This window comes from Homo sapiens, chromosome 18 (assembly GCF_000001405.40).
Source record: "Homo sapiens chromosome 18, GRCh38.p14 Primary Assembly".
Lineage (NCBI taxonomy): Eukaryota > Metazoa > Chordata > Mammalia > Primates > Hominidae > Homo > Homo sapiens.
In genome coordinates, this window is record NC_000018.10 from 79,998,563 (window position 1) to 80,017,190 (window position 18,628).

General features: G+C 46.4%; 1 protein-coding gene across 2 annotated transcripts in view, besides 4 other annotated features; it reads right to left on the reverse strand.

Moving 5' to 3' along the window:
* TXNL4A (thioredoxin like 4A) overlaps positions 1–18,628 on the reverse strand; it is a 63,124-nt gene that overhangs the window by 27,750 nt on the left and 16,746 nt on the right. The gene's annotated exons all lie outside the window — the stretch shown is intronic.
* Positions 4,412–4,625: a silencer, noted in NCBI's record as "fragment chr18:77762974-77763187 (GRCh37/hg19 assembly coordinates)". NCBI's record gives its function as "represses an EF-1alpha promoter that drives an FKBP-Casp9 reporter gene in an ReSE screen in HepG2 liver carcinoma cells {active_cell/tissue: HepG2}" and the evidence as "EXISTENCE:reporter gene assay evidence [ECO:0000049][PMID:32094911]".
* Positions 8,096–8,597: an enhancer, noted in NCBI's record as "OCT4 hESC enhancer chr18:77766658-77767159 (GRCh37/hg19 assembly coordinates)". NCBI's record gives its function as "activates a minimal SCP1, AML or CMV promoter by ChIP-STARR-seq in naive H9 embryonic stem cells {active_cell/tissue: H9 hESC(naive)}" and the evidence as "EXISTENCE:reporter gene assay evidence [ECO:0000049][PMID:30033119]".
* Positions 14,247–14,541: an enhancer, noted in NCBI's record as "tiled region #15651; HepG2 Activating DNase unmatched - State 23:Low". NCBI's record gives its function as "activates a minimal TATA promoter and a strong SV40 promoter by Sharpr-MPRA in HepG2 cells {active_cell/tissue: HepG2}" and the evidence as "EXISTENCE:reporter gene assay evidence [ECO:0000049][PMID:27701403]".
* Positions 14,247–14,541: a silencer, noted in NCBI's record as "tiled region #15651; K562 Repressive non-DNase unmatched - State 23:Low". NCBI's record gives its function as "represses a minimal TATA promoter and a strong SV40 promoter by Sharpr-MPRA in K562 cells {active_cell/tissue: K562}" and the evidence as "EXISTENCE:reporter gene assay evidence [ECO:0000049][PMID:27701403]".

Below are 18,628 nucleotides of genomic sequence, written 5' to 3' on the forward strand. Positions count from 1 at the left end.
GCTATTTTAGCCAACACCTGGACCCGGTGGCTTGAGGGCTGCCTCCTTGTGTGAGAGCAGTAGCAACCATGGCCCTTCTGTACAAGTCTGTTGAAGAAATAAGTATGGGTTCCCCCCTTACCATTTCTGTGCCACATTCTCCTGAGACCCTTCTAAACTCTCATCATACTCAACGTGTGTCTGTCAACCGGTCAGCCTCTTATCAAATTTTGCTTGTACCATCTTCCAATATTACTACTTCCAGTATAATAATCTTAATCTGGCCACTCTCTTGTCAGGCCCTTCTGACAAGACCCCTCATGACTGTGTTCTGATGACTGACTTCTCACCCCAGGACAGACCTACAAGAGATGCCACTGGATCATGCTAAAATAGAATGGTATACGGATGGGTCTTATTTAAGAGGAGAGGATGGAAATTTTGGAGCAGGATATGCTGTGGTTTCCTTACTAGAGGTAATTAAAGCCGGTCCTCTTCCCGAAGCCAGATCATCTCAAGTGGCTGAGTTGACTGCCCTGACCCGAGCTTGTCAATTGGCAAAATACAAGGCTGCAAACATTTGCACTGACAGCTGCTATGCTTTTGGGGTTTGCATGACTTTGGGATGCTATGGAAAGATGGAGGATATTTAGCCTCCTCAGGGCAACCCATAAAAAATGTACAAGTATCAGAGCTGTTAGAAGCTATTCTAGGCCGGGTGCAGTGACTCACGCCTGTAATCCCAGCACTTTGGGAGGCCGAGGCGGGCGGATCACATGAGGTCAGGAGTTCAAGACCAGCCTGGCCGACATAGTGAAACCCCGTCTCTACTAAAAATACAAAAATTAGCCAGGCATGGTGGCGGGTGCCTGTAATCCCAGCTACTTGGGAGGTTGAAGCAGGAGAATTGCTTGAACCCGGGAGGTGGAGGTTACAGTGAGCCAAGACTGCGCCACTGCACTTCAGCCTGAGTGACAAGAGTGAGACTCCATCTCAAAAAAAAAAAAAAAAAAAAAGCTATTCTAAAACCAAAATAGTTCACAACCATAAAAATCCCAGGTCACTTTAAATTAAACACCACAGAAGTTCAGGGTAACCAATTGGCTCATGCCACAGCTAAAAGAGCAGCATTTGAGCCAGCCCCAATCCAGAAAATGACCATAAAACTCAAAACACTTAAAAACATATGATATAGTTTGGCTGTGTCCCCACCCAAATCTTACCTTACATTGTAGCTCCCACAATTCTCACATGTTGTGGGAGGGACCCAGTGGGAGATAATTGAATCACGGGGGCAGTTTCCCTCATGCTGTTCTCATGGTAGTGAGTAAGTCTCATGAGATCTGATGACTTTATAAGGGGAAACCCCTTTTGCTTGGCTCCCATTCTCTCTTGCTTGCTGCCATGTAAGATATGCCTTTCCCCTTCCACCATGATTGTGAGGCCTCCCCAGCCATGTGAAACTGTGAGTCCATTAAACCTCTTTTTCTTGATAAATTACCCAGTCTTGGGTGTGTCTTCATCAGTAGTGTGAAAACGGAGTAATACAGTAAATTGGTACCAGCAGAGTGTGGTGGTGTTGTAAAGATACCCAAAAATGTGGAAGTAACTTTGGAACTGGGTAACAGGTAGAGGTCGGAACAGTTTGGAGGGCTCAGAAGAAGACAGGAACATGTGGGAAAGTTTGGAACTCCCTAGAGACTTGTTGAATGGATTTGACCAAAATGCTGATAATGATATGGACAATGAAATCCAGGCTGAGGTGGTCTCAGATGGAGAGAAGGAACTTGTTGGGAACTAGAATAAAGGTGACTCTTGCTATGTTTTAGGAAAGAGAATGGTGGCATTTTGCCCCTGCCCTAGACATCTGTGAAACTTTGAACTTGAGGGAGATGATTTAGGTATCTGGCAGGAAATTTCTAAGCAAAGAAAAGCATTCAAGAGGTGGCTTGGGTGCTGTTAATAAGATTAAGTTTTTGAAGGGAAACAGCATAAAAGTTTAGAAAATGTGCAGTCTGACGATGAGATAGAAAAGGAAAACCCATTTTCTGTGGAGAAATTCAAGACAGTTGCAGAAATTTGCATAAGTAATGAGGAGCCAAATTTTTTGTTTGTTTGTTTTGTTTTTTTGAGATGGGAGTCTCCCTCTGTCGCCCAGGCTGGAGTGCAGTGGCATGATCTCGGCTCACCACACCCTCCCTTCCTGGGTTCAAGCAATTCTCCTGCCTCAGCCTCCTGAGTGGCTGGGATTACAGGCGCCTGACTCCACTCCCAGCTAATTTTTGTATTTTTAGTAGAGACGGGGTTTCACCATGTTGGCCAGGCTGGTCTTGAACTCCTGATCTCAAGTGATCTGCCTGCCTTGGCCTCCCAAAGTGCTGGAATTACAGGCGTGAGCAAGGAGCCAAATGTTAGTCACCAAGACAATGAGAAAATGTCTCCAGGGCATGTCAGAGACATTCGTGGCAGCCCCTCCCATCACAGGCCTGGAGGCCTAGTAGGAAAAAATGTTTTTTGGTGCCTGGCCCAGGGCCCCCCTGCTGTGTGCAGTCTAGTAAGGACTTGGTGCCCTGTGTCCCAGCCACTCTAGCAATGGCTAAAAGGGGCCAAGGTATAGCTTGGGTTGTGGCTTCAAAGAATGGAAGCTCTAAGCCTTGGCAGCTTCCACGTGATGTGGAGCCTGTGGGTGCACAGAAGTCAAGAATTGAGGTTTGGGAACCTCTGCCTAGATTTCAGAGGATATATGGAAATGCCTGGACGTCCAGGCAGGAGTTTGCTGCAGGGCTGGGGCCCTCATGGAGAACCTCTGCTAGGGCAGTGCAGAAGAAAAATGTGAGGTTGAAGCCCCCACACAGAGTCCTCACTAGGGCACTGCCTAGTGGAGTTGTGAGAAGAGGGCCACTGTCCTCCAAACCCCACACTGGTAGATCCATCAACAGCTTGCTCTGTGGCCCTGGAAGAGCCACAGACACTCAACTCCAGCCCATGAAAGCAGCCAAGAGTGGGGTATACCCTGCAAAGCCACAGGGCAGAACTGCCCAAGGCCATGGAAACCCACCTTTTGCATCAGTGTGACCCGGATGTGAGACATGGTGTCAAAGGAGGTCATTTTGGAACTTTAAAGTTTAATGACTGCCCCACTGGATTTCGGACTTGCATGGGCCTTTAGTCCCTTCGTTTTGGCTAATTTCTCTAATTTCGAATGGCTGTATTTACCCAATGACTATACCCCCATTGTATCTAGGAAGTAACTAACTTACTTTTGATTTTACAGGCTCATAGGCAGAAGGGACTTGCTGTGTCCCAGATGAGAGTTTGGACTGTGAACTTTTGAGTTAATGCTAAAAGGACTTTGGGGGACTGTTGGGAAGGCATTATTGCTTTTGAAATATGAGGACATGAGATTTGGGAGGGGCCAGGGATGCAATGGTATTGTTTGGCTGTGTCCCCACCCAAATCTCATCTTGAATTATGGCTTTCATAATTTCCATGTGTTTTGGGAGGGATCTGGAGGGAGATAATTGAATTAGGGGGGCAGTTTTTCCCCATACTTTTCTCCTGGTAGTGAACAAATCTCACAAGATCTGATGGTTTTATAACGGGAAACCCTTTCATGTGGCTCTCATTCTCTCTTGCCTGCTACCATGTGACTGAAGAAGCCTCACAAAACATGCAAACAGTACAGATTTCAACAATCCTGAACCAGCAAACAGATGGTCAAGGAATCTGCAAGCCCTGTGGCACATCTTAATCCGTTAGGTCCTCGTGTCTAGGTGCATGCTGATGAGAATATGTTCCACCAAATCCAGGCTGCCCTCCTAGGGTGATGGGAAAGCAGAGGGGTTAAGTATGGCACAATCCACAGTTCAGTTCACCAAGTAAGGATGTGAGTAAAATGCTAAAAACAAAAAAGCCACTGAAGAGTTGCTTATAGAGTCCAAACTCATGTAGAAAAGGCCGTGTCCCTCAAGGCTTTCATTGTCACCAACAAATCTGGTATTGAGATTGCCAAGAATGATTACTCAGCCATTAATTTTGCAGAGTAAGAAGAACCAATTTTTAAAATGAGGCTGGGTGTATGGCAGCTCTGAGCATGCCCATATTTAGTATGAAAATGGATGGCACCCCCATTCTAGGAAATCTCCGCCTTTTCCCTAGAAAACCACATGATTATTCCACCCCCTAATTAGAAGAGCACATAAAGTTAGAAACCCAAACTCCTTTGTGCATGACCTCTGTCCTAAGTGTGAGCTTTCGCTTTGCAATCAAAGCTCCTGGCTTTCCACTTCACGGACTCGGCCCTGAATTCTTTCTCACTGTGGTGCCAAAAACCTGGACACCAGCTGTGGCTGGCATCCCACAGGCATCGGTAGACCCTCTTGAACCCTCCAGCAACAGGTGAGGGACAGGAAGATGGCAGGGAGGGAGGCCAGGATGTCCTCAGGTGAGTCCAAGTAGGAAGGCCCACTGCTGGGAAGGGGGCCTGTTGTCCAGTTGGTCACCCTTGAGCTGTCCTGGGAGATGGGTGTGTCTGTCCAGCTTCAGCCTGGCCAAGCTTACGCACTGACTGCGGCTTTCTCTGCTGTCTTGGCTCCTGGGTGGTCATCATCATATGTCATCCTCTGTGGATGACATTTCCTCAAGTCCAGCGCTGGGTGGCTAGGATAGGCCTAGGATGTCCATCCAGCTGGCTACATCCTCAAGAGCTCATGGGCCCAGCAATGGCCTGAGGAGTACTTCAAGGTGTGTCCAGCACAGGTCCTGTGCAGTGTGACACCCCACCAGGTGACTTCAGGGTGTGTGCCTGCTGCCTGGACCCAGAGGGCAAGCATGTGAAATCACAGCTCTCTCTTTGGGAACAAAAGGAGAAGCAGTTTTTGCATGACTTAGTTCCCAAGCTTAGTTTTCCTTTGGAATTGTGAGTTTGGGGTCTTGAAATTCTATTTTCCTTCCACAGCTTCTTTCTCTTCCCTTTTCCTTGTCTCTTCAGTTATAATTTTTTTGTTGTTGTTAATATTAACTGTCAGGAATTTCTGTTTCCAGAACCTGGCTGATTACATGGTCAGTGATTTCTAGGGCAGCAGGAGAAATATTTTAAAAGCTACTTTTAAGAAGCATTATTTTATTGGAGATGGTGTATTTGTTCATTCTCATGCTGCTATGAAAAAACACCTGAGAATAGGTAATTCATAAAGGAAAGGGGTTTAAGTGACTCACGGTTCCACATTGCTGGGGAGGCCTCAGGAAATTTACAATCAATGCAGAAGGCAGGTACCCTCTCCACAGGGCTGCAGGATGCAATGAATGCAAGCAGGGCAAATGCCAGACGCTTAACAAAACCATCAGATCCCGTGAGACTCACTCACTATCACAACAGCACGGGGAAAACCACCCCCACGATCCGGTCACCTCCGCTTGGTCCTGCTCTTGACACATGGGGATTACAATTCAAGATGAGATTTTGGGTGGGGACACAGCCAGACCATGTCAGATAGGTCACTGGTCTCAAAGTCCTGGCTTCAAGAAATCATTCCTTCTTATCCTCCCATATTTCTGGGATCACAGGCATGAGCCACCATAAGCTACTTAAAAAAAAAAAAAAGCCTGGCAGTGTAGGCAGGAAAGTTAAGGGATTCCTTGGGGCAGGGTTGGCAGGTAAGTAGAGGGATTCCCTGAGGTTTATGTTTCCTCCAGGGCTGTTGCTTGCCAGGCGTTTGATGTGCCTGCCCTGAGGGCAGCCTGAGGCCTGACACCACCACCCAAAGCCTGGACTCTGGGACCGTGGCTCTCAGTGCATGAACTCAGGGAAACTCTCCCTTCAGAGAAAGGTGGGTAGAGGTGGGTGCCTCTCCCACCTTACCTGTGGGTAGGAAGGGGGCTGCATCTCTCAAGCCAGAAACCTGAAGCAGGCACCGAGTGCTCCCTGTCTGAGCCTGGGTGGAAGGGCAGAGATATGTTCCTGAGAATTCCCAGCAATCTGGGGGGGATTCGCACTTCCTTGCAGCAGGAGCTCTGGGTTACTTTGCTGGTTGAAGAGGAAAGTAAGTGCCAGGCCCTCGGCTTCGTGAAAGGGGTGGGTGGGCAGGTCAAGGTGGGCTGTGGAACTCCTCTGTGTACACATTGAATTTAGAACTTTAGCTTTGACCCATGCAGAAGTGAATGTGCACGCTCTGAGAACTCATGAGAAAATCACCAGAGAAAACAAGCCTTGAGCAGAGTCCCAAGAAACCACAAACAAAACATCGAGTGCGCAGTGGCTGCCGGTCCTGAGATGATCAGACCCAGAATAGGAATGCATCTGTGTTTAAAGGAGTGCAAAGCAGTGAGGAGGAGAAAGCATCAGAACTATTGAAGAGTCCAGAACAGAAGCCAGGGAAATTCCCAGAAATGAAAATCAGGACAACTAACATTAGAAACAGGATGAATTGGCTAAAAAGGTTAGACATAGCTAAAGAGCTGCAGTGATAAAAGGGCTGGACTGAATGAGCCCGCTTATGTGAAGTTCAAACACAGGCAAAGCCAAACGTGACCTAGAGACACAGACGTGCAGTAGAACCATGAGGAAGGGCAAGGGATGGTTAACACGAGAGTCTCGTGAGATTGTGATGATCTCCTGGGGGAACAGCATGCAGAGGGAAGGCCCTGGTGACACCTGAGGCCAATGGGGCATTCTGGACTCGAAGGTTGTTGAGCAGCGGCCCTGGCCTCCACCCACCAGATGCCAGTGGTGGCCCCTCCCTGTGATGACAACCCAGGCTGTCTGCAGACTTGGCAAGCTCCCCTGGGGGGAGAAAAATTGCCCCCAGGTGACAGCCATTGAATTAGAGGTTAAGAGTGTTTCAATTGCTTATGCTGTCTTTCTTAGGGTGGGCAGTGCCTATGTAGGTATTCATTCTGTATTATTTAAAATGTCTACATGTGCACCCTTTATTTTAGGATATGTTTTTCAGGAATAAAATAATAATATACATTCTCTGGCCTAGTAACAGAGAATCCTACTGGATAAATGAATATGGAAAATAGTTTTCCTGGGAGCTTATAGCAGGGCTTCTCAGTGTTATTTGCTATTTAACTCCGTATTGAAAAATGTTGGCAGGGCACAGTGGCTCACATCTGTAATCCCAACACTTTGGGAGGCTGAGGCGGGCAGATCACTTGAGGTCAGAAGTTCAAGACCAGCCTGGCCAACATGGCAAAACCCTGTCTCTACTAAAAGTACAAGAATTAGCCAGCATGATGGTGCATGCCTGTAATCCCAGCTACTTGGGAGGCTGAGGCAGGAGAATTGCTTGAACCGCGAGGCAGAGGTTGCAGTTAGCTGAGATCGCACCACTGCACTCCAGCCTGGGTGACAGAGCAAGACTCTGTTTCAAAAAAGAAAAAAGAAAAAGAATAAGAAAAAATATCTAGGAAGAAGAACTTTCCAAAAACAGCTTTATCTAGTGTGGGGACACAATTTTGTAGTCCCAAGTACTCAGGAGGCTGAGGCAGGAGGACCACTTGACCTTGGGGGTTTGAGGCCAGCCTGGGCAAGATAGACCTTATCTCTAAAAAATAAACAAGGCCAGGTGTGGTGGCTCACGCCTGTAATCCCAGCACTTTGGGAGGCTAAGGCGGGCGGATCACGAGGTCAGGAGTTCGAGACCAGCCTGGCCAATATGGTGAAACCTTGTCTCTACTAAAAATACGAAAATTAGCCGGGTGTGGTGGCATGCGCCTGTAGTCCCAGCTACTTGGGAGGCTGAGGCAGGAGAATCGCTTGAACCCAGGAGGCAGAGGTTGCAGTGAGCCAAGATCATGCCATTGCACTCCAGCCTGGGTGACAGAGTGAGACTCTGTCTCAAAAAAAAAAGGAAAGTTTATTAGGAAGAATGCTGTAACAGAGTGCAGTGGGGCGCCTCAGAGAGAGGATTGAGCGCCCAGTGGTGGATTTTCCATAGGAGCATTTATGGACCTTAAGGCTGGAGCTTAGGGTTGTAAACTGAGTTTCAGCATGGCATTCCAGAGATGTTTAGAAATTTTATTTACTTATAAAAGTTGAAAGAGGCCTGGAATTGAAGCGGTGTCATTTGTCTGGGGTAATACCTGAGGTTTGTTGCCTCATGTCAAGGAAATTGAGGACGTAGACCCACAATGAGTGAGTTTTAGAGTGGGAGTTTAATAGGCAAAAGAGAAAAGTTCCCTTGTGCAGAGTGAGGGGGGTTCTGAGAGGATTTCCCCCTTTGCAACCAGATGGTTTTATCGATGAGCTTGAGAAGGTGGTGTCTGATTTACATAGGGCACAGAGGATTGGTTGGACCAGGTGTGCCATTTACATAGCACTGGAAGAAGCGGCCAACTCATCCTTTTATTATGCAAATCTTTTTATGCAAATGGAGTCTCTACGCGCCAGGCGCCACGTTGCCTGCTTTTTTACTGCACATGTGATGACAAAGAAAATGGAAGGGGAACCTCCATGTTGAACATACTTGGCTTCCAGGTATCCCTTTTCTATTGGCACAGCTGCCGGCATTCACCTATGCAGGCTTCCAGCTGGCTTATCTGTGTCTGCAGCTCAATTTTACAAGCTGCTCTTTGTTAGAAAAGAAATAATTTGGGGGCTGCTTTTTGTTAAAAGGAAAGCCTTACTGAGGACTCTCTTACCCTTGCAGCAGGACGAGCCACAGACAAAACCTCTCAGACACCGAGTTGTAGAAGGAAGGGCTTTATTCAGCTGGGAGCATCGGCAAGCTACTGTCTCAAAATGCGAGGTCCCTGAATGCACAATTTCTGTCCTTTTTAAGGGCTCACAACACTAAAGATTTCATATGAAAGGATTGTGATTGACTGAGCAATCTAGGGGATACGTAACAGGGGTGTCGTGCAGAGAGAGTCGGAGAGAAACAGAACAGAGCAGGGAGTTTCACAATGTTCTTCCATACAATGCCTGAAATCTATGGGTAACATCGGGTTCTAAGTCAAGAGTTGATTTTTAACTACTAGGTTTAGGCCAGGCAGGCCCAGGCCTGGTTTTGGGCCTGGCGCTGGGCTGCCTGTCTTTGATTTCACTTCCTTGGTTTTTTTTTTTAATCAGGTACTGAGTATAAAACAATATGAAACAATATGAGAGGGTCTCTCTCTTCCCTCACCCTCACTAATGGCCTAAATAAACAATATGAGAGGGCCTCTCTCTTCCCTCACCCTCACTAACTGCCTAAATGATTTCTTTCTAGTTCCTGTATCATGATCAGATGCCGTCTTCAGATACTAGGGAAGTTTGATTACTTCTAAATTCCCCAGATAAGGAGTTTTGCCTCCAGATGGCCTGTTTGATGGTCACCAGGTGGTCTTGGCTCCCTTCTGAATTGCCCAGGTAAGAAGATTTGTCTCTGGGGCCTGTCCAATGGTCACCAGATGATTTTTGCCCTCCTCACAGCCTAGGCAACATAGTAAGACCCCCATCTCTACAAAAAATGCAAAATCAGCCAGGCGTGGCAGCGCACGCCTGTGGTCCCAGCTACTCAGAGGGGCTGAGACAGGAGGATCGCTTGAACCCAGGAGGTCTGGGTTGTAATGAGCCGTGACTGCACCTCTGCACTCCAGCCTGGGAGATGGAGTCTTAAAAAAAAATGTTTTTCCGGGTGTTATGAGTGTGCTCTCCAGCTTCAGTGTGACTTTGTTTGTTGGAGACTTGGGTAAGTATCCAAATTGTTTTTCAGATGTAAATGTTAGTAGCTCTCATTCATGGGAAGTTATGGTCTGCTCTTTAAGTTCTATGGGGCTATCTTCACATCTGTGGCACAAGGCTGGTCAGTTTTACATCTGAGAAAAGTGAGTCTGGGGAAGTGCCCCTGCCATCCATCCCACAGCAGGCAAGCAGCCTCCTCCGCATTCTCCTCTTCCTCTTCTCATGCCTGGTCCTCTCCTTTTGTCATCTTTTCTTCCCTCACCCCATCTTTATTGTATCTCTTTTTGTCTGTCTCTAAACAATATTTTAATTGGTTGCATTGTTTTTATGTTCCCTGTTTTTAATATTCATGACATTCCCTTCCTCTCCCCCTTCCTGTCTTCTCCACATTAAGTTCACCCTCTTTGTACTTTTACCTGAGTGCTTCCCCCCGTTCTCCTCCACCCCACCCCACTTCAGGCAATTCTGAGTGGTACAGAGGTGTCACATCCATCTCCTGGGACTGTATGAGTCTGTCTCACTTTCCTTTGAAAGAAGCAGTTGGAAATTCATTCTACTTCATTTTTCTTTCTTTCTTTCTTTCTTTTGAGATGGAGTCTCGCTCTGTCCCCCAGGCTGGAGTGCAGTGGCACGATCGTGGCTCACTGCAACCTCCGCCTCCTGAGTTCAAGCGATTCTTCTGCCTCAGACTCCCAAGTAGCTGGGATTACAGGCGTGAGCCACCACGCCCGACTAATTTTTGTATTTTCAGTAGAGACAAGGTGTCACCATATTGGCCAGGCTGGTCTCCAGCTCCTAGACCTCGTGATCCGCCCTCCTCGGCCTCCCAAAGTGCTGGGATTACAGGCGTGAGCCACTGCGCCCGGCCTACTTTATTTTTCTTTCTAGGTCTCAATTTTCCAGGGGCTTTAAAGGAAGACAATCCTGTATTTAGAGCCTTAAGTCTGTTGAAGGCAATTTCAACGAAAGTAATACTTTTTTTTTGTAAATTAAGCCATCATCTTACAAGAAGAAAATGCCTTTCACTGTTTAGCAGCTCGAATGGAATGGCAGGAGGAAAGTGCGGACAGCAGTCAGGAAACATCAGTGCCTCAGTTATTGCTCTGTTGGGCAAAAGCAAAGCTGTAAACATTTTGACTTTTCCATATTTCACGGGGCGTTTATCCTCCGACTTCACACGATTCAGGTGGTTAATGACACACCTGCTTAGCTGTGCACTCCTGTTGTTGGGAGGCCCCTGCCTGTGGATCCTCTCAAGTTTGTCAGGACGGGACACCAACAGGGCTGTTACCAGTGGCAAGTTTATACGGGTCTGCAGCAACTTTATTCTTGCCTCCTTGGAGGAAAGAATTTGGCTGAGAGGAAGAAATAGTTTTAAGGCAGAGATAGAGACCAAGGCCAGATTTAGAGCAAGAGTGAGAGTTTATTACAAAGTTTTAGAGCAAGAATGAAAGGAAGTGAAGTGCACTTGCAAGAGGGCCAGGTCGGCAACTTGAGAGATGAGTGTCCCACCTGACCCTCGATTTGGGATTTTTGGGGTTTTGTGTTTCTTCTCCCTTGATTCTTCCCTTGGAGCTGGCTGTCCACTTGCATGGTGTCCCGCCAGAGCTTGGGAGGGGCTGCGTGCGCAGTGTTTACTGAAATTGTACGCAGGCTCACTTGAGGCATTTTTCCCTTATCAGTTGAGTGTTCCTAGAGGAAGGTCATATACCAGTTAAACTTCACCATTTTGCCTCTTGGTGCCATGTGTGAGCCCACTCACCCAACTCCTGAGGTCTTATCAGCAAGCTGCTCATCACCAGCTTCAGGTATTTTCTGTCTGTTTGGGAGATGGCCTTTCCCTGGCTCCTGCTGTAACCAGTTATTACGCAATGCACCAAGATGTAACAGTTTTTGTTCTTTGAGATAATAACTGGACTCTTGTTTTACCTTCAAGAAGATTAAGGAGTACAGACACAAAGGTGAAGTTGGGGCGAAGGTTTAATAAGCGAAAGAAGAAAGCTCTCTGCCAGCAGAGAGGGGGTCCTGAATGGGGTGGCCACTATGAGTCCCGTTCTGGGTTCTCTATGAACTGGAAAGAGGAAGAAAGGTGCTTAGTCTGCAGGCTGTCTTCGAGAACACGTGACTCAGCTTGTCCCGGGACCTTGGCCCAGGACCTACTGGAAAGCTTGGCCCAGCACCAGTTAGAAGATGAAGCGATGATTCACAGAGGCTGCTTAGCCTGGCCCAGGACCTATTAGGAGCTGAAGTGACAGCTTGGCCTGGGACCAACCAGAGGCTGAAGTGATGATTCACAGAGGGCAGACGTACAGTCCAAACAAAGGAAAGGAGAGTGTCCACGGGAACCCACTGAAGCCCACTGTGCCCATGCCCAAAAATGAGAAGAAACATCTTCCTGGGAGCCCACTGTCTATACAAAGGACGAAGGCATTTTTATGCCCAGCCTTGTTCCCTTATTTGAGTGAGTTGGAGGTTTGTGCAAGATTTTATCCAAGTGGAGGTTTTTCCATCTGTGTAGCCACGGGCATGTCTCCAGGCACAACGCCACGTGCTAGTTCCCTTACTGGTTCCTGCAGCCTGATTTCCCCCCACCCCAGGCTGCTTTCTATTTTATGTGGGGATAAGGCTCTGACCTTGGGCCGGGGGCTCTCCAGGGACTCTTCCCTTGCTGTCTACCTAAGGCAAGCTAACTCCTTTCAGTCCCCCCGTGGAGTAGAGACCCAACTGCTGTTGGGGAGGTTGGGCATTGCTTTTTTTTTTTCTTTGGCTACTTCCTGCTGGAAAGGGGCATTGTGTGGGGGAAGAGCAGCTAGGGTTCCTCCTGGGGTTGGTTTAAGGGTCCGCGGAAGAAAGGCACATCCATGTGTGGTTTTATTTGCATTACCATTTGGTGCTTGTTAGCCCCTCGGGAAAGGAAACAATTTGGGTTATATCATTGAGTATGCAAAGGCCAAACACTAATATAAAACATATAAGGAAAAGAGGTTTTCGTAGGGGAGCTAACCAGGCCCAAAACCAAGACTCGAATTTATTAAAAAGGGATTGTAGCCAACTGGGACGGGAGTTTGCATTTTCCCTTAATTTGTTAGTGATTTCAATTTGGTTTTTAAGGACTTGTAAATTTTTCTCTACCTGACTGGAAGTGTTGATCCAGAAACAGCATGTTTTATTTAAGAGTGCACAGGCGCCCACTACTTCAGCTATAAGGACATTGAGAGTTTATTTTGCATTACCACTGAGGCTACAGAATTTTGGATTGTTGTGCCTTTATGGCTGCTACAGTTGCCTTCCACCCTTGCTGCAATATTGTGGGAAAGAGTTTCTGGGGCGCCAGATGAGTTGGTCTCCCCTGTGTGAGACACCCATGGGGAGCCATGAGCAGCCTCTGAGGAGAAAAGTCTCCTTATTGCCTTCATGTCTTTATGCCCCGAGAGCACAACCGCTCGGCGGCATTCCACAGGTGGCTCAGGGAGATAACACTTCCTTGAAGCAATGGAGTATAATCAAACATCTTGGCTCCTCCTGAAACCCACTCCCACCTTTTCCGTCCCTATAAGTTAAAGATCTTTTTTTTTTAAGAACTATATATATATATTTTATGTGAAGTTTACTCTCTATAAAGTTTGGATGAAGACATTTTTTAAAGATCTTAAGTAGTTTAGACACACGCCTTTGCTCGAGGAAATTCACAGAAACCGAGACTGCTAAACATCTTATTGAGTGACTAACGAGTTCTCCTTCACTGATTAATCCTTTTCCTCATCCCTTCCTCCCCCTCCCATCTGCCCTAAGAACAAAGAGCTTGTAAACCAATAAATTAGGTGGAGCTAAAGAGCTCTGGACGCGCCTTTTAAACTCTTACTCTGTCTCTTTCTAACTCCTTTGTTTCTGCTGGACTCGGGGTACCCACCGGGTAGTGTGGGGCTGGTTTCCCCAATAATTTTGATAGAAATATTAAGCACTGATTTTCTTAAGAAGGGGACACCGCCAAACCAAGATAGGCCTTTGGCTACTGCATGTCCTATTCCTGGTTTTTCTAATATAGGATTCTTGTGTGCATGTCCTTTTAAGTTTTTTCTGTTAAATCTCCATATGATGACATAGAGATAAGTGACCTTCCGTTTTGGTATGTGTGAGAGAATGCACTTTCCAGAAAAGAGGCTAAATTAGGGATGTTACCTGACAATGCTACCGTGTTAGAAGGGTTTAAAAATAACACACTGGGGACCACTGCCACTATAGTGCCTGCTCCTCTCCAGTGCCTGGGGAGAATTAAGTGTACCCAGGAGCCATAGAGAAAGTAAAGCCCTGTTCCCTGAAGGGATGGTTTTATGTTGTGGTTCATGAGAGTTTCAGCTAGATTTAGTCCAGGCCTTATAAGGTTGCCTTCCCTATATCTAATGGCAATATCTTTAGGATAAGGATATCCATACTTAGTCTAGTTATCCACAGTACCATTTGGAACTATACATGCTGCGTAGGAAGAATCTTTTTGGCAAATAGAGTTTTGAAAAATTAGAGACACAGAATGTCCTGGCCAATATCTTAGACAACCCTCTTTACAGGGTCTGTTGGTTTAGACATCCCATTAGTCCACAAATTTGCAGATTACTTCCATTAAATTTTTTTTTTTTTTTTGGGACCGGGGTCCAGTGCGGAGTGCCCTTCCTCCTGGGAAACGGGGTGAGGCCGGAAAGGCGGCCGGCCGCCCCCTCGCCCGTCACGCAACGCACGTTCCTGGGGAACCTGGTGCTAAAGCATTCGTCGACGACCTGCTTCTGGGTCGGGGTTTCGTACATAGCAGAGCAGCTCCCTCGCTGCGATCTGTTGAAAGTCAGCCCTCGACACAAGGGTTTGAAGAAAGAAAAAATAAGAGAGAGAGAACAAAAAAAATTAAAAAAGGAAAAAAAAAAATTTTTTTTTTTTTTTTGAGACGGAGTCTGGCTCTGTCCCCCAGGCTGGAGCACAGTGGCGCGCGATCTTGGCTCACTGCAAGCTCCGCCTCCTGGGTTCACACCATTCTCCTGCCTCAGCCTCCTGAGTAGCTGGGACTATAGGTGCCCGCCACCATGCCCAGCTAATTTTTTGTATTTTTAGTAGAGACGGGGTTTCACCATGTTAACCAGGATGCTCTCGATCTCCTACCTCATGATCCCCCCGCCTCGGCCTCCCAAAGTGCTGGGATTACAGGCGTGAGCCACCACACCTGGCCCCATTAAATATTTTATTATTATTATTATTTTTGAGATGGAGTCTCACTCTGTTGCCCAGGCTGGAGTGCAGTGGCATGATCTCAACTCACTGCAACCTCTACCTCCCAGGTTCAAACGATTCTCCTGCCTCAGCCTCCCAAGTAGCTGGGATTACTGGCATGCGCCACCACGCCCGGCTAATTTTTTATTTCTTTTTGTATTTATAGTAGAAAGGGGGTTTCACCATGTTGGTCAGGCTGGTCTCGAACTCCTGACCTCGTGATCCACCCACCTCAGTCTCCCAAAGTGCTGGGATTACAGGCGTGAGCCATTGCACCCAGCCTACTTCTGTTAAATATTACACAAGGGTCCGAGATTTCATGTGTGGGCATCTTTGGGAAGGACTGTATTAGTTCATTTTCATGCTGCTGATAAAGACGTACCTGAAACTAGGAACAACAACAACAAAAAGGCTTAATTAGACTTATATTTCCACATAGCTGGGCAGATCTCAGAAACAGGGAGGGAGGTGAAGGCACTTCTTACATGGTGGCAGCAAGACAAAATGAGGAAGAAACAAAAGCAGAAGGCCCTGATAAACCCATCAGCTCTCAAGAGACTTATTCACTATCCTGAGACTAGCAGAGGAAAGACCAGCCCCCATGATTCAATTACCTCCCCCTGGGTCCCTCCCACAACATGTAGGAATTCTGGGAGATACAATTCATGTTGAGATTTCGGTGGGGACACAGTCAAGCCATATCATTCTTCCCCGGCCCCTCCAAATCTCATATCCTCACATTTCAAAACCAATCATGCCTTCCCAACAGTCCCCCAAAGTCTTAACTCATTTCAGAATTACCCCAAAAGTCCATAGTCCAAAGTCTCATCAGAAACACAGCAAGTCCCTTCTACCTATGAGCCTGTAAAATCAAAACAAGCTAGTTACTTCCTATATACAATAAAGGTACAGGTATTGGGTAAATACAGCCATTCCAAATGGGAGAAACTGGCCAAAACAAAGGGGTTACAGGACCCATGCAAGTCTGAAATCCAGCAGGGCAGTCAAATATTAAGGCTCCAAAATGATCTCCTTTGACTTCGGGTCTCGCATCCAGGTCACACTGATGCAAGAGGTGGGTTCCCATGGTCTTGGGCAGCTCCACCCCTGTGGCTTTGCAGGGTACAGCCTCCCTCCAGGCTGCTTTCATGGGCTGGCGTTGAGTGTCTGCTACACGCCATGTTTAGTTTTCCAGGTAGACGGTGCAAACTGTCAGTGGATCTACCATTCTGGGGTCTGGAGGATTCTGGCCCTCTTCTCACAGTTCCACTAGGCAGTTTCCCAGTAGGGACTCTGTGTGGGGGCTCCAACCCCAAATTTCCCTTCTGCACCACCCTAGCAGAGGTTCTCCATGAGCGCCCAGCCCCTGCAGCAAACTTTTGTCTGGGCATCCAGGCATTTCCATACATCTTCTGAAATCTAGGAAGAGGTTCCCAAACTTCAGTTCTTGACTTCTGTGCGGTCACAGGCTCAACACCACATGGAAACTGCCAAGGTTTGTGGCTTCCAGCCTCTGAAGTCACAGCCCAAGCTGTATGTTGGCCCCTTTCTGCCACAGCTGGAGTGGCTGGGACACAGGGCACCAAGTCCCTAGGCCGCACACAGCAAGGGGACCCTGGGCCCAGCCCACAAAAACATTTTTTCCTCCTTGGCTTCTGGGTCTGTGATGGCAGGGGCCACCATGAAGACCTATGACGTGCCCTGGAGACATTTTCCCCATTGTCTTGGGGACTAACATTTGGCTCCTTGTTACTTATGCAGATTTCTGCAGCCAGCTTGAATTTCTCCTCAAAAAAAAAAATGGACTTTTCTTTTCTACTTCATTGATCAGGCTGCAAATTTTCTGAACTTTTATGTTCTGTTTCCCTTTTAAAACAAAATGCTTTTTTAAAAAATTATTATTATTATTATTATTATACTTTAAGTTTTAGGGTACATGTGCACAATGTGCAAGTCAGTTACATATGTATACATGTGCCATGCTGGTGTGCTGCACCCATTAACTCGTCATTTAGCATTAGGTATATCTCCTAATGCTATCCCTCCCCCCTACCCCCACCCCACAACAGTCCCCAGAGTGTGATGTTCCCCTTCCTGTGTCCATGTGTTCTCATGGTTTAATTCCCATCTATAAGTGAGAACATGCGGTGTTTGGTTTTTTGTCCTTGTGATAGTTTACTGAGAATGATGATTTCCAATTTCATCCATGTCCCTACAAAGGACATGAACTCATCATTTTTTATGGCTGCATAGTATTCCATGGTGTATATGTGCCACATTTTCTTAATCCAGTCTGTCATTGTTGGATATTTGGGTTGGTTCCAAGTCTTTGCTATTGTGAATAGTGCTGCAATAAACATATGTGTGCATGTGTCTTTATAGCAGCATGATTTATAGTCCTTTGGGTATATACCCAGTAATGGGATGGCTGGGTCAAATGGTATTTCTAGTTCTAGATCCCTGAGGAATCGCCACACTGACTTCCACAATGGTTGAACTAGTTTACAGTCCCACCAACAGTGTAAAAGTGTTCCTATTTCTCCACATCCTCTCCAGCACCTGTTGTTTCCTGACTTTTTAATGATTGCCATTCTAACTGGTGTGAGATGGTATCTCATTGTGGTTTTGATTTGCATTTCTCTGATGGCCAGTGATGATGAGCATTTTTTCATGTGTCTTTTGGCTGCATAAATGTCTTCTTTTGAGAAGTGTCTGTTCATATCCTTTGCCCACTTGTTGATGGGGTTGTTTGTTTTTTTCTTGTAAATTTGTTTGAGTTCATTGTAGATTCTGGATATTAGCCCTTTGTCAGATAAGTGGGTTGCGAAAATTTTCTCCCATTTTGTAGGCTGCCTGTTCACTCTGATGGTAGTTTCTTTTGCTGCGCAGAAGCTCTTTAGTTTAATTAGATCCCATTTGTCAATTTTGGCTTTTGTTGCCATTGCTTTTGGTGTTTTAGACATGAAGTCCTTGCCCATGCCTATGTCCTGAATGGTAATGCCTAGGTTTTCTTCTAGGGTTTTTATGGTTTTAGGTCTAACTTTTAAGTCTTTAATCCATCTTGAATTAATTTTTGTATAAGGTGTAAGGAAGGGATCCAGTTTCAGCTTTCTACATATGGCTAGCCAGTTTTCCCAGCACCATTTATTAAATAGGGAATCCTTTCCACATTGCTTGTTTTTCTCAGGTTCGTCAAAGATCAGATAGTTGTAGATATGCAGCGTTATTTCTGAGGGCTCTGTTCTGTTCCATTGATCTATATCTCTGTTTTGGTACCAGTACCATGCTGTTTTGGTTACTGTAGCCTTGTAGTATAGTTTGAAGTCAGGTAGCGTGATGCCTCCAGCTTTGTTCTTTTGGCTTAGGATTGACTTGGCGATGCGGGCTCTTTTTTGGTTCCATATGAACTTTAAAGTAGTTTTTTCCAATTCTGTGAAGAAAGTCATTGGTAGCTTGATGGGGATGGCATTGAATCTATAATTACCTTGGGCAGTACGGCCATTTTCACGATATTGATTCTTCCTACCCATGAGCATGGAATGTTCTTCCATTTGTTTGTATCCTCTTTTATTTCATTGAGCAGTGGTTTGTAGTTCTCCTTGAAGAGGTCCTTCACATCCCTTGTAAGTTGGATTCCTAGGTATTTTATTCTCTTTGAAGCAATTGTGAATGGGAGTTCACTCATGATTTGGCTCTCTGTTTGTCTGTTATTGGTGTATAAGAATGCTT